This window comes from Homo sapiens, chromosome 16 (genome assembly GCF_000001405.40).
Source record: "Homo sapiens chromosome 16, GRCh38.p14 Primary Assembly".
NCBI classification, from domain to species: domain Eukaryota; kingdom Metazoa; phylum Chordata; class Mammalia; order Primates; family Hominidae; genus Homo; species Homo sapiens.
The window spans coordinates 86,576,877-86,591,582 of record NC_000016.10 but is presented as its reverse complement, the minus strand read 5'-3'; the positions used below and the strand labels follow the sequence as shown (position 1 = coordinate 86,591,582).

At 47.9% G+C, this 14,706-nt stretch overlaps 1 protein-coding gene across 1 annotated transcript, besides 1 other annotated feature; it reads right to left on the bottom strand.

Moving 5' to 3' along the window:
• Positions 8,105 to 13,034, bottom strand: FOXL1 (forkhead box L1). The gene has a single exon (NM_005250.3). It carries the CDS (start codon positions 12,857 to 12,859, stop codon positions 11,822 to 11,824), a length of 1,038 nt encoding a protein of 345 aa, NP_005241.1. The 5' UTR covers positions 12,860 to 13,034; the 3' UTR covers positions 8,105 to 11,821.
• Positions 11,553 to 12,174: an enhancer, noted in NCBI's record as "H3K27ac-H3K4me1 hESC enhancer chr16:86613015-86613636 (GRCh37/hg19 assembly coordinates)". NCBI's record gives its function as "activates a minimal SCP1, AML or CMV promoter by ChIP-STARR-seq in naive H9 embryonic stem cells {active_cell/tissue: H9 hESC(naive)}" and the evidence as "EXISTENCE:reporter gene assay evidence [ECO:0000049][PMID:30033119]".

Sequence of the window (14,706 nt, the reverse complement as noted above, 5' to 3'; positions counted from 1 at the left end):
ACCATCATCATCATTATCATCACCACCATCACCATTATTATCACCACCATTATCATCCTCTATCATCATCATCAGCTTCATCATCACCTATCATCATCATCACTATTATCATTATCATCACCATCATCACCTTCGGCAGCATCACCATTACCATCATCTCATCACCGTCATTATCATCCCTATCCTCATCACCATCATCATCATCATCATCTTCGGCATCAGCATCCTCATCATCACCATCATCATCCCATTATTGACTGTCTTCCCTACTGAAAGCCCTATGTGGGCAAAGGCCTGTGTGTCATTCACAGATGTATCCTCCATACTCATTTGGGTTCCTGGCATCTGGTCATCATTCAGTAAGAATAAACTACATTGTTTTTCACATCTTGGGTGTAGCGATGTTCAATACAAGTTTTGCTTCATCTCCTCACTCAACAACTATACATTGAGCACCTGGCAGAGAACATGCCCTGGTCATGTGCTGGGGATAAAAAGAGGAAGAAGCTCCAGTCCCTGCTCAGCTCCTCCTGGAGGAAATAAATGTACAAGTGGCTTCTACTAATCCTTTAGGATTGGGTTAGAAACCCTTCTCCATAGTGTGACTATGGAGTAATTCTCCATAGGGTGAGTAACCATCCCAGCTTACCCAGGACAAAAGGGTTTCCTGGGACCCAGGCTTTCAATAATAACTTGGGAAAGTCCCCGGCAAACTGGGATGAGTTTGTTGCTCTACTTCTTTGGCTCCTAAGCTTAGGGGCAAGGAGCCCTCATGCCATAGAAGGCTGCTTCAAACAATGGGAGGTGCGGAGTACAGTGGTTAAAGGCATTGCTCCAAAGCCAGTGAGTCTGAATCCAGACTCCAGCCTGCCACTTACTAGCTACGTGAACTTGGGCAAATGACTAAGCTCTTTAAACCTCTGTTACCTCATCCATCTGTAAATAAGGGAAAACAATAGTTCTTAACTGAAAGGGAAAAGTAAATGAGTTAATACTGTGTACATGTGAAGTGCTTACGACAATCCAAGTGGAGGCCAAGTAATCAGAAAATATTAAAATTACTATTAGCCCCTCATATATCTTATCATTCTTATCGGCCTTAGTTTTACTTCAAACTCTCCTTCATTTACACAGAAAGTGTTTATATTAAGGGATGCACACTTATAGAATATTTGCAAAACTTACAAAACAGATTTGAGGCTGAGCTTCCAGGGGCGACTCCCTGCACTATACTGCAGAAATGAGCACCAAGGAAACTGCTGCCTCTTCTAGGATCAGAAGCCTTCAAATCACACAGAAAGGGGCTGCCACAGCTGTTGGCTCCAGAACCACCTCCATGGTCCACAGCAGCAAAGCCAGCACACCATGCCCTCTCCTTTGCTCACCTGCCTCCCTGAGAAATCCAGGGTTCGCCCCTGCATGTCTCGGTGGTTGACTCCAGATGGCTAGCACACAGAGACAAGCAGGGCTTTCTTCCTGTTTTATGTTGGGAAGGTAGGATTTGAAGTACGTGAACCTATCAGAAACTGAAGAGTGTTTAAAAGATTTTGAGTAACCATAAATGTCCAAATTGCCTTAGATGGCTGGCGCATGTCAATTTGCTTCTCTAGTTTTTCCCACCAGAATATGAGCCCTTGAAGGTCAGGACCTGGGTCTGGTTCATTGACATATTCCTAAGGCATATCACAGCCTGGCAGTTAATGGCAATCACTATTTGTTAGATGAGAAATGATAAACTATGCTGATTACAAAGACCACTAGGTACAAGGCATGTTCTTCATCATGGAAAAATGTAAGCCACCCTCTTCCTCTATGGATATTCCTAAAGGCATGCACTTCCTTTACACGGCACTGAAATGTGTTTTAACATTTGTGAAACTCTAGTATGGGCAGCGTAGAAGATGGTGTGAAGGACAGCAAGGGTTCTAGAAGAAATTGACCTCAATTTTTGACTCAGCCTCTTCCTGTGTGCTACTCATGAAGTCCCACACCCCAGCCTCAGTTTCTTATCTGTCTAATGGAGAGACTCTAGCCAACCTCCTGGAGTTGTTGAAATGATTAAATGATATGATATAGGGCAAAGATTGTGTGCTCAATCTTTCTCCCAAGAGCGTGGACAAAGAGATGAGGGTACAGGGCTTGTGTAATACCAAACAGTTGGGCTGTTTCTTTCAGCCCTGAACCCACTTTTTTGTTCCTTCATGCCAAGTGGTTTTTCTGAATAATCTGGGCACTTGATGTCAAGCCTTCCCTTAATGATGTCAAAACCACTGGTTCCCAAAATCTGTTACACTAGAATCATTTGGGAAGGTTTCTGAAATACCATTTGGGGTTGCCACACTGCTGCCAGCACCTTTAAAGCTGCTCCCCCTGCCACACACACACACACACACACACACACACACACACACAGAGTGATTTCAGTGCTTAGCCCAGATTGAGATTCACTGGTTTACACAGACAACAGAAGTCACAGTTCTAACCAACAGTTATTCCTGTAATTTCAGGAAGGATAAAAATCAACCTGAAAAAAGAAATAGATCCTGACAAGGCTTAGAGAGAGAAGCCAGCATGGTTCCCCCATGAGAATGATGGAGAGGACAGCAAAGTCACTGACTGGACCTGCCAACCAGGGGTCACTTGGCAGAAGTCTTTGTTCCCAATCCCTGGTGCCAGATGCTACAGCAGGAGGTCAGAATGAACCAGAGGGCTGGGAGTGCTGGACTCTCAATTGCAGGACTAATTCTGAAACTGACTAGCCATGTGCCTTAAGAAAAGCCACCTAACCCTCTCTGAGTGTCCCTGTGTTAGTGTGTATGTAAGTGGAGAAAATGGTAATGCCTACCTCACATGAAGGTGGTTAAAAAAGAATGAGAAAGTGGATATGAAAATTCTTGTACAAAATAAGTCTCTTTCACCTCCCCGTACATTTCTTTGCACCTTCCTGTGAATCTTCAATTATATCAAAATTAAAACTTTTAATAAATAAATATTTTTCACTCACCTGCCTCCATTACCAAGCTGTCAGCAATTAAAGTAAAAGAAGCATGACTTGCAGAGTTCTCTGTCCCCAGTAATCTGCATGTGCACTGCACAGGCAATGTTGAAATGCAACTTAGTGACAGTAATGATGACAATGGTGGCAAGGGCGGTGGTGATGATGATGAAGATAATAATGATGGTAATGGTGATGATGGTGGTGGTGGTGATGATTGTTATAATAATGGTGGCGGTGGTGATGATGATGATAGTGATGGTAATGATAATGGTGAAGATGATGATGATGGTGGTGATGATGATGGTGATGGTGGTGAGGGTGATGATGGTGATGATGATGATGGTGATGATGATGGTGGTGATAATGATCGTGATGGTGATGATTATGATGATGATGGTGGTGAGGATGGTGGTGATGATGGTGATGGTGGTGAGGGTGATGATGATGGTGATGATAATGATCGTGATGGTGATGATTATGATGATGATGGTGGTGAGGATGGTGGTGATGATGGTGGTGAGGGTGATGATGATGGTGATGATGATGGTGATGGTGGTGAGGGTGATGATGGTGATGATGATGATGATGATGATGGTGGTGGTGGTAATGATGATAATGATGTTAATAGTGATGGTGGTGGTGATGGTGATGATGGTGATGGTGATGATGATGGTGATAGTGATGGTGATGATGATGGTGGTGTTGATGGTGGAGGTGATGGTGATGATGATGATGGTGATGATGATGATGGTGATAGTGATGGTGAGGGTGATGATGGTGGTGGTGGTGGTGATGATAATGACGGTGATAATGATGGTGGTGATGATGGTGGTGGTGGTGATGGTGGTGGTGGTGATGATAGTGATGTTAATAGTGATGGTGGTGGTCATGATGGTGATGGTTATGATGATGATGGTGGCGATGATGATGGTGATAATGATGGTGGTGGTGGTGATGATGATAGTGATGACGGTGAGGGTGGTGATGGTGGTGGTGGTGATGGTGGTGGTGATGATAATGGTGATGGTGGTGATAATGGTGGTGGTGATGATAATGGTGATGGTGGTGATAATGGTGATGATGGTGATGATAATGGTGATGGTGGTGATAATGGTGATGATGGTGATGATAATGATGGTGGTGGTGGCGATAGTGATGATGATGATGATGGTGATGATTGTGGTGGTGGAGGTAATTGTCGTGGTGGAGGTAATTGTGGTAGCATTAATGAAATACAAACAACTTAGAGAAAGATGATATACCAAAAGTAACACCAAAATACATTGGAAATACCAAGCATACACTCTTGGAGGCAGGATTATTACAAGTAATTGTGGGGCTACAGGTTTGTTCCCTTTTTACCACCTTTCTGAATATTACACATTTCCTGTATGAACACATATAACTTCTACAGTGGTATTTTATTGAAAGACAAATCTACACAGAATAAAGAAAAAGGGTAGTTGAGGTCATAGAAAGATGCTGAGAGTCTACTCTGAACAAACAAAACTTGTATATAAATATGCATAGGTGAAAAGAGAGAAATGATAGCTAATGCTGAGTACGTCTTCTCTCTACCCCTACAAATGCACCCAGTGGCATATATACCTCACTGCAGGGGCTCTCAGCTCTGGTTGCAGAATCAATAGAATTGCCTGAGGATCTTATAAAAATACACCTGTCTGGTTTCACCAGAGGCCAAGTGAACCAGGGTCTGAGGTTAGGACACAGATGCTGGGCGAATCCAAAATTCCCAGGTCATCCTTGGTGCAGAGCAGGTGGGAACCACAGCCTCATGGGTTTCTTCTCATCACATTCGGATGCCGCAGTGAACACCTCCCAAAATGGCTGAGTCAGAAATGCAACACACTGGAGATACATTCGTTTCTCTTCCTTATGCCACTGAGTGGCCCTTATGGAGACAGGGGGCTGCCCTTCCCCTGAGAGTGTCTCCCTGCATGTCCATCCTTGTCCCACAACTTCAGTAAATGCAGAATGTCCAGTACACTCATGGTTCCAGAAAGAGCCCTGGGCAGTGCCAGTGATGAATTATTCATCATTTCCCCACCAGTCATGCTCTCAAGATGGAGGCTGCAGGACCGACTCAAAGTCCAAAAATGTGGGAAAGTTTATTTATTTCTCCAAAACATTCCTGATTTGTAATGTGCTTACTAAAAATGTTCTAGCTGACCAAGCCCTGCTATATTTAGCTACAGCATTGAAAAGAAATACTCTTTACACTTTATAAGGCGGGCTATGAAATGCATGAGTTTAGGGAAAACTGCTCCTCCAGGCTAGGCCCTTTCTCCCCAGGAGAGGGGTGGAGCCTCGGTTTTGGCTTATAGGAATGGTCTCAGTGCTGGGGGGCAGAAATAAAGAGTTGTATTCATTCCCAAGGCCCTTGAGTTCACAATGGCTAGACAGTCAGCCCTGGGAAGTCTCCTCTAGGCTCCTTGTACCACCTGGGCAAAGCAAAGAAGCACCAAAGGAATGTTGCTCTCCTCCAGCCTGTGAAAATCATCTCTCCTATGGTTTTCCTAAGATCCCCTGCCGTGTGTAGCAGCTTATTTTGCTTTTGGTTTCGTGTTCAAACGGTTGGATCATCTCAAGAGAGGAAACACGGCAACAAAAAGATGAAATGGATCCCAGCCTGCCCGGGCAGGAGGACTGCAGAAATCAGCCCCAGGAGCCTTCTGTTCTCGACAGAATTCTCTAACATGAGCAGCACTGTTTGTTCGTGTTTTTGTTGCTGCACAGAGAAGTCATGAGTGGAGACTAGAGGTTATGTCTGTATACAGCCATAAGACTTAGCATGTATTGAGTGTTTTCTGTATGCCAGACATTTTACAAACATCAACTCATTTAACTCTGATGAGGTCTCATGCAGGAGGAGAGATTATGCTTCCTGCTTTACAGATGAGAACCAGGGCAGGCTGTGGTCATGAATGTATAACCATCATTTAATTTATGCCCATTACAGCTCTATGAAGTAGTTACTAATGTTATTTGTACCCATGCCAGGAGTTAAGGGACAAAAGAGTTAGGTCACTGCCAATGTCAACAGCAAGTGAAGGCTCAGCTGCATTATTAGCCTCTGTCTCATGGGCTCCGAGGCCACACTCTTATCCAGGTTAAGGAACCCTCTTCCGGGGCCACCTCACCCTGACTAGATCAATTACTGAGGGGTAAGGAATCAATAAGATGCAATTACAGCAATTGTTCCCATTGTTGGGTGTGTTGGAGTGGACCTGGAAGAGGTGGATAGGAGATGGTGACCAGCTACCTGGGAGAGATGAGAAGCCGAGAGATGAGAAGCCAAGAGCTCTGGGTGGCGTGAGGTTCATAATACTTTCCGCTGCACATTGCAAAGGCATGAGCTGTTCCTTAAAGTTCATGCTGTCGAAGTCCATGTGACCTCGCAAACTCCAGGGTGTTGTTCCTCACCCTTCCAAGTGGGCTTAACACGGACACTGCCCTGGGGTGGAGACCCTTTTATCGTCCCAACTTCTTCTGGATTGGGCTTGAGGATGCCCTCACCAACATGTGGTCCACACATTCTAAAAGGGCAGGACAGCGTCAGCCACACAACCCAGTGAAGGCTGAGCCCTGTGGCTCACCCCTGTAATCCCAGTGCTTTGGGAGGCTGAGGTGGGAGAGTCACTTGAGGTCAAGAGTTCGAGACCAGCCTGGGCAACATGCCAGACCCCTCTCTGCAAACATAAAAATTTGTGAAATAAGCCAAGTGTAATAGTGTGCACGTATGGTCCCAGCTACTCAGGAGGCTGAGGCAGGAGGCTGGCTTGAGCCCAGGAGTTTGAGGCTAGTGAGCTATGACTACAACACTGCATGGCAATCCAGCCTGGGCAACAGAGTAAGACTCAGCCTCAAAAAAAAAAAAAAAAAAGAAAAAAGAAAAAAGAAAAGAAAAGAAAAAGAAAAACCATTACTACTGTGCACAGTCAAAGGCAGTCCAGCAACTTCTCAGACTCCAAGACATCCAGGCAGAGATGCATGGCCAGGGCAGGCCCTCTCTGGAACTCAGTTGAAGCCGAGGCCCTGCCCACCTAAGAGGGACCCAGATTAGTATCTACAGCCTGCTTCTCTTGGAAGCTTGCCAGATGGGAGATTCCAATCTTCTGGAATTCCAGATGCAGCCATAGGCATTGTCTGGGACATCCCAGCCTTGGCTTTTGTACATCAAGGTGTGGTCAGGGCAGCGGCAACTTCCTGGTCCCCGCAGAAGGACCCCCAGTGTGCTGGTCACAGTCAGCTTGCCCAGCCCTTCCCTGGTCCACTCGCAGCCCCTCTTCACCTCCTCTGCAGGTTGACCCCTATGGACAGCATTACCTGGGCTACCTTGCAGGCTGGGTTTCTTGCAGGTTTCAGCCCATCGGAAGCATCAGATGAGGCTGGAAGGCGGAAGAGGAGAGGTGGGATATTTCCCTTCCCTCCTGTCTGCTCCAGCACTGTGGCTCCTTTCCACTCCAGCTCTGAAGGTGGTACCTGCTGCAGGCTGAGGGGGCAGAGGCAGGATGGAGCTGTTCTCACCCTTGCTAATCACTGGCGGTTTCGTTCATCCAGCCCACTCCTCCATAAATAGTCCTTCCACCCTGATCCTTTCCATGGAGCCATCTAAGTGGGTTTCTATTTCCTGCCAGGACGCTGATTCTTGTACCTAATGGAAAAAACAGGTTGGGACCAAATCTTTGTTCCATTGCTTCCCTCCACCCCCACTGCTACTGTAAAGATACCTGAGTTGACTGTGACCCCCCCAGATTTCATTTGCACCCCAAGGTGGAGAGCCTGAGCTTGACTCTACATCTGGCCTATAAGCCACACATTTGATTTGCCTAGTGCAATTGGCATTTGGATGCCATCTGAAGGGACAGAACTTCCCTCACCCCAATTCAGCCCAAGCCCCACCACTGCCCGCTCCAGTGATCAGGCCCCACTCCAGGTCACTGTAAACACCTGTGGCCCCTGCCTAGCCCTGAAGAACTCAGCACTGGGGCCTCTGGATAAGGACCAGCAGAGGAGAGAGCTTGTCATGTGGCTATTCAGGTGTATTTAAAAAACTGCTTTAAATGTGAGTCAAAAGAATCTTACTTTTCCACAAACTCACGCTTTTTATTTTTAATGGACAAACTTTGCTTTTTATCATTTATGTTTTTCATTCTATGAAACAACCTTTATTTCATGGAAACAAGACTCCATCCACCATGAAGCCAGGAAGTGCACAAAATCATGGCTCTCCCCTTATTTTCTCACTCCTGGGTGCAGCTGGTTACTGGAAACGTCACCTACCTTTGTGATGTTAACATTAACCTGCCAGGGTCTGGGCAGGCTGGCTCTGGCTTTCAGCTGTAACAATAATTATATGTGGCTAATTCTTTAACATACACACGGGCATACACTCACCACTTTGAGTGAAATGGTGAAGACCACCATTCAAACGGGCACAATTAAATCTGAAAATGGCTAAGAAGGTCCTATTCAGGTTCTCAAAACTCTTATGGTTCACTGGAGGCCCAGGAGGCCGTTTGTTTCTAGAAAAGCCAGCAACTAGATGAGGCCAGGCAGAGCAAGAGTCCTTTGTAAAGTTCTCTGTCCTTGTGAACGGAGGGAAAAGTTCTCAAAGCGGGTGTCTTCCGCGATGTTTAAATAAAATCTGTCAGTTTCACTATACTAACACAGAACAATAAAGTTATCCCTGGTTCATACTACATAGAGAAACAAAACTATTAAAGCTATATAGAAATTATTATCTATTTTTAAAAACTATATAGAAAAACAAAATCTTTCAAATAGTATCAATACTTGGGTTAAAGTGAAAGGACTCAGTACTTGATCTGAGTCTCAGGTATATTCAAAAAAGATACATTTATGAGCATTCATGTACACAGAACAAATACACACACACACCCCTACACATTCATGTATATATATGTATATACATATATATAAACGTGTACATATGTATACACACTTTGTTATCAAACATGTGCCTGCCATATCCTCATTATGATCAGTGCACTCATATGTGTGTGGGTATTTGTTTGTGTGTGTGTGTAATCAGGGCTTGAACCAAAGATCATTTACAGAAGACAGATCTGTTCCCTTTGTTTAGATGAGAGCAGAGAGGTATTCCTTCAGATTGCCTAAGAGTACAATGATAAGCTTGCTTCTGGCTCACCCTAATTATAGCTGAGATTTTGTTTTAATTAAGAGCAGAAACTATTGACCTTATTGAGCCATAATTTTGAGCCAACGATTAAATATGGATCAATAGAACAGCTATTCGGATTGGTAAGACCCAAACCTCCTCTTTTTGGTTCAGGAGGAAGGAATACACATGCAATTATATAGATTACATAAAAACGACCTCAGTATCCACTTGTCTTAGCTTTTCTAAACCAGACAAAAGTTGGGATTAAATAGAATTTCTCTTTATGCATGTATAAACACACAAAGTGGATACATCTGCATTTTTTCTGTGTCATAAAAGTAACATTCGTACAATACTTTTTGGAATAGTAACTTTAAAATACGACCCTTTTAAAACTGCAGTATCAAATTATTTGCTTCTTCAAAACATAGCCATCACAAATTAACAAAACCTCCCAAGATAACATACAAACACAAAAAAGAAAAAGGAAAGATTAAAAACCGATTCAATACGGCAGAATTAACTCATCGTGCTTTCTGATATGGAGGCAGCTTCCTGGGCCCGGCATCCTCTCCACTCCTTCCCCTCCATCTGTGTGTTTACCCCTCAGAAGCCAGAGCCTCCTGAGATGCTAACACGACTCCCAGATATAATCCCAGTCTCCTCTTTCTTATTACACTGTTTGTTTATTTCCCTCCAGTAATCCACTGAACCAGTCACTGAGAGGTTAATGAAAAAACAACTTTATTCACAGAGGCTGAGAGTTTGGGATAGCAAAATATCCAGTGACAGCCCTTTCGCTACATTTTCAGTGAATCACAGTGAGCCTGGATCTCAGCAATGGCTCCTCCTGGAAGTTCTTCCAATCAAGGCTGGCCTGAAGTTTCCCAGAGTCTTCCCACTGGCCTGGGTAGAACCCAGTCGTGGAAGCCTGGTTCAGCATGGATAGGAGAATGAATTTTCCAAAAGTCACCTCTATGCCTGTGAATTATCCAATTACTCTGCCGGCCTGAAATGTCCTTTCCAACACATTGACCAACAGGCCCTCTGGATTCAAAGTTTGTCATCATTTTTAGACAAGTCCTGGAAACTATTTTAAAAGCGATCTTAAAGACCTCCCTCCCAACCTATTTCCAATAGTGCGTGACTACTTGTGTCTTTATCACATGACATAAAATAAAAGTGACTTAGAGGTTCAGAAAATTGCATTTCAGGGCCTCGAAGATTACCCAGCTAGAGATGGCATAGAGGTCGGTTGCATTTCCCCGGAAGCTGCAAGCTGAACTTGGTTGTGAACATCTCAATGTTCTTAATTAGATTTTCGTTGCAGACCTCTTCTCCCCTCCCCAGACTGCCAGTCACCTCTTTAAGGTTTTGATTTAGTATCAGCCTCCAGGCCTGCCTGGCAGGGCTGGGAGGGAAGAGCGGGCGGCTGCAGGGGGTGCGGGGGCCAGGAGTGTCTGGGAGATTCCTGCCATCAAACCTCAGGTCCTCTGGGGCCCAGAGAGGCCCCTTCCAGCGGACACCAGCACGTCCCCTTATTCTTCCCCCGCATTCATCCCTCTCTCTCTCTGCATCTGCTTTTGGTTGTTTCACCCAACTTTTTAAATTAAATGTAGTCTTTCATTATCTGTTTCTGAAAAATATAGCGACCACCAAGCCTGGATCTTGAAAAAACATGGAAATCAAAACTCTGACATTGTCCAAGGCATATCCCCTTCCCCTCACACCCTTCCTCATGGTATCCCTTGAAATATTTTGATCCCTTAAAAACAAAAGCAAAAGGATAGGACGTCTGCTGTTGTGGCTTACATAGCTGCATGTGTATTGGCTAATGAGCTATCGTAATGCAAGAAGATGTTATATAGAGTGCACTTTCTTAATAAAAATTGTTAATACAAGCGTTTTCAAAGGTCAATGCTTAGAGTCAAGTATTTATGCAAAGAATGAAACATGTTCTTTTTACTACCCAGAAAGAAATTAAGAGAAAAAGTCTCTGTTTAAAATAAAAGTGTTATTGCTCTGGGTGGTTATCAGCTTCTATAGCTGAACATTGGTCATAAATCCTCATCGGGCCCTACATCTCTCAGAAAACCTGAAAACCCGGGGTCACCCCCGGCACCTCCACAACTTCAAGTCAGGAACAAACCCAGCTGTGACCACCCACCACCCAGATGGGCTCAAAACCAAGGCCTGAGCCACACGGCAACAGCGAAGCAGGCGACGGTCATACGGGGGTCCCCGGTCGAAAGGACCTCAACTGCACCTGTAAGGCCTGCCTTGGGTGGTCTGCGGGCCCTTGCATGCCCGGGACTCGCAGGACCTGCGGTGGGCGGCTGAAGACCACACTCCATTAGACAGGTCAAACGTCAAGGAATCTCCCGCGGTGGAGGTCCCTGCAGGGCCCACGTGCGGTGCCCACGACCCCGCGGGGATCTTTTAAGTCTCCGTAGCTGCTCCCAGTTGCTGGGAAAAGTTTGCTTCGGAGAAGGCAGGCGAGCGCGCCCACCTGCGCGCAATGGTTGGTAACACTTCCCTGAACCCACAGGCCGACCCAGGCAAAGATCATTTTAAAATCCTCCGCCGGTGGGAGCTGTGGCCTTTCGCTCAGCGGAGGCTCAGGCTGGGCCGGGAGAAGAACCGTGCCATTGTTTGCTTTACTGGAAGTGGAGTACCGTGTCGGGAACCTGCAGGGGGAAATAAGAGAGGAAGGGGATCCCGAGCTGGTAAAAGCCGCCCTGGACATGCGGGTCGAGCATCAGGGAAGCGTTGAAAGGCGGACGGAGGCTGGAGGAGGCGGCCAGGAGCGAGGCACCCAGACGGCCGCCGGGCCCAGGCTTGGCACCCCCTAGGAGTTCGTCCCCTGAAGGCGGCTTCTGGCCCTGCTTTCCCGCCAGGATGCTGTCTATGCTGAAGCTCTTGGACTTGTCGGAGCTCTTCGGAGAGCTGCGGGAGGCGGGGCGCAGAGGGGACCCCGGGCCGTCCCCTGTGCGCGCTGCCTGGCCGACCGCCACGGCCGCTGCGCCCTGGGCAGCGTCACCAGCGTCCTCGTTCGGGGACGCGGTCCCCGGCCAGTGGAGGGGCGCCGGCGGAGAGGGGCCGTCCAGGAGGGGCGAGGGGCCCGCGGGCGCTGCCTGCAGGCGGGAGATTGCGGGGCCCGAGCCCCCTGCCCCGCTCCCCGCCTCCGGCTGCGCCTCCGCGCTGCGCTGGTGCGTCTCGGCGCGGGGCCTCTTGGCCTCCGGGGCCCCGGGGCCCGGCTTGGGCTTCCTCTTCCGGCGCCGGTAGTTGCCGTTCTCAAACATGTCCAGGCAGCGGGGGTCCAGCGTCCAGTAGCTGCCCTTGCCCGGCCGCCCTTTCTCGCGGGGCACCTTGACGAAGCAGTCGTTGAGCGAGAGGTTGTGGCGGATGCTGTTCTGCCAGCCCTGCCGGTTGTCGTGGTAGAAGGGGAAGCGGTCCATGATGAACTGGTAGATGCCGTTGAGCGTGACCCTCTGCTCGGGCGCGTCCTGGATCGCCATGGCGATGAGCGCGATGTAGCTGTAGGGAGGCTTCTGCGGGGTCTCGGCCCGGCCCGAGGCAGCTAGAGCAGCCGCGGGGGCGAAGGCCAGAGGGAGGCCGGGTCTCTCGGGACCGTACAGATACAGCATGGGCGAGGCGGCCAGGGCAGGCAGCCGGGGATCGAAGAGGTGACTCATGGCAAGCGAGAGCCTGCGCTGCGCTCCCCGCAACGCAGGAGACCCGGGCGGCCTAGGCACTGCGCCCCGCGCCGCAAGGGCCCTCCCGGGGAGCCAGCCGTGCCTCTGCCTCTGGCTCTGCCGCTCTCCCCGGCCGCTCCGTGCTCTGTCCCTTCTTCATGGCTTTAAAAATGTTAAATAATTGTTGTAAGTTTGCTGTTATATGTTGACTTAGCCCTGGAAAATAAATTGTCTATGATAAACAGTCCTTGTGTTCTCAGCCCACCCACATTAATTAAAATTTCATTGCTGAAAAACTCCAAGCTTTTCCCTCCACGTGTCTTTTTGATACCAGCCAATCGGTTTTGGGGCTATTCCTTCATTTGTTTATAGAATTAGTCTGTTGATAAGTCCGCCCACCCAAGTTGAATCAAGCTGTGTTTATTTGGAAAAATTTCCGGGCACCCAATATATAAACGCACTGATCTGATGTTTGAAATATCACGTCCACCCCTTGACGCTGTAAGCACACACAGTCAGTGAGGCAGGATGTAGACTGCGGTGGCTCAGAGCAGGGTCTGCTGAGCCAGGAAGGAGAGGTGGAGATGGGGGTGGGTGTGCAGGGATGAGTTTTACGCTGGCCTGGGGGAGCCCCATAACGCCAGGGCCTCCCACAAAAGGTCTTTTCTTCTCCCAGGCTTAACCGGAGATATCGAGATGCCACAGTCTAGTAAAACACTTTCTGAGGTCCTAGGAACCTTTTAGATTGGGGCAGGGAGAGTATCTAAGAAGCCTGAGTGTCTGCTGAGAAGGGGATGCGGCCCTCCCTGGAAAAACAGGTGGCAGACCCAGTAGGAGGTGGCACTCTCTAGGGACCTGCTCTCCCACACCCTCCCTTCCAGGGCTCTCCGGAAATCGGAGGGAAAGTGGACTCTGGGAGCCCAGTCTCTCTGGAAGGGAAGGCCTAAGGCACTGGGGGCCTGGGGAAGAGCTCATGGTCCACAGCTCCATTGAGGAAGGTTTCAAAATAAACCCATTTAGAGAACCGGGGGCAAAAGTAAGGTCCTCCTGATGGGGCCAAGGTTGCAAGAGAGGAACACCATAAAAGGAGGCCGTGGCAGCTGGCGCGGGAGGCCTGGTATTTGTGAATGTGGGTCTCCAGCTTTATATTCTGGGCTTTCCTGTTTATAACAAGGAGGGGGTTATAACAACTTTACAAGTGCATGCAGCTGGCCCGTGATTACATTAGGCATTTGGGAAGCCTGCTTGCTCTCCCTGTATCCACCCACCCTGGGGTGTACGCGGCCCTCCACCCCCATCTCATTTTACATTTTCCCACATCACTGTTTGAATAAAAAATCCTGAATCATGCTGATTTCGAAGGGGGCCTCTCCTCCCCACTCCACCGGTTAGGGTAAGGGTAGAGGCACCTAGTGTGACTACTTCCTGTTTATGACCACCCCCTGAATATTAAAACACACACACACTGTCACACACACACCCACACACACACACACACATTCGGATAACTGGCGTCTCATTGAGCAAATCGTGTGAGCATGTCAAAGAGATGAGGGAAGGGGGAGGATGGCAGGTGGGTGTAGAAATGGCCCACTGCCAGTGGGCCAGGAAGGAGGGAGAGGCACCGAGGGCACTTACAGGGGTAGGGGGAGTGTCTGCCGCTGCCACACCCGGCTGAGGATGTGAGTGCCCAGGTAGCCTCTGAACACGGAAACGTGGCGGGCATCCTTTTTCAAAATGAGAAAATCAGAAATAACCCGTGTGTTTGGGGTTCCTGGGTATCCAGCCCATGGAATAAGTAGACCGCAGGGGAGCGGGTAAATTTAAAATACCAAAAAGGAAGTCGC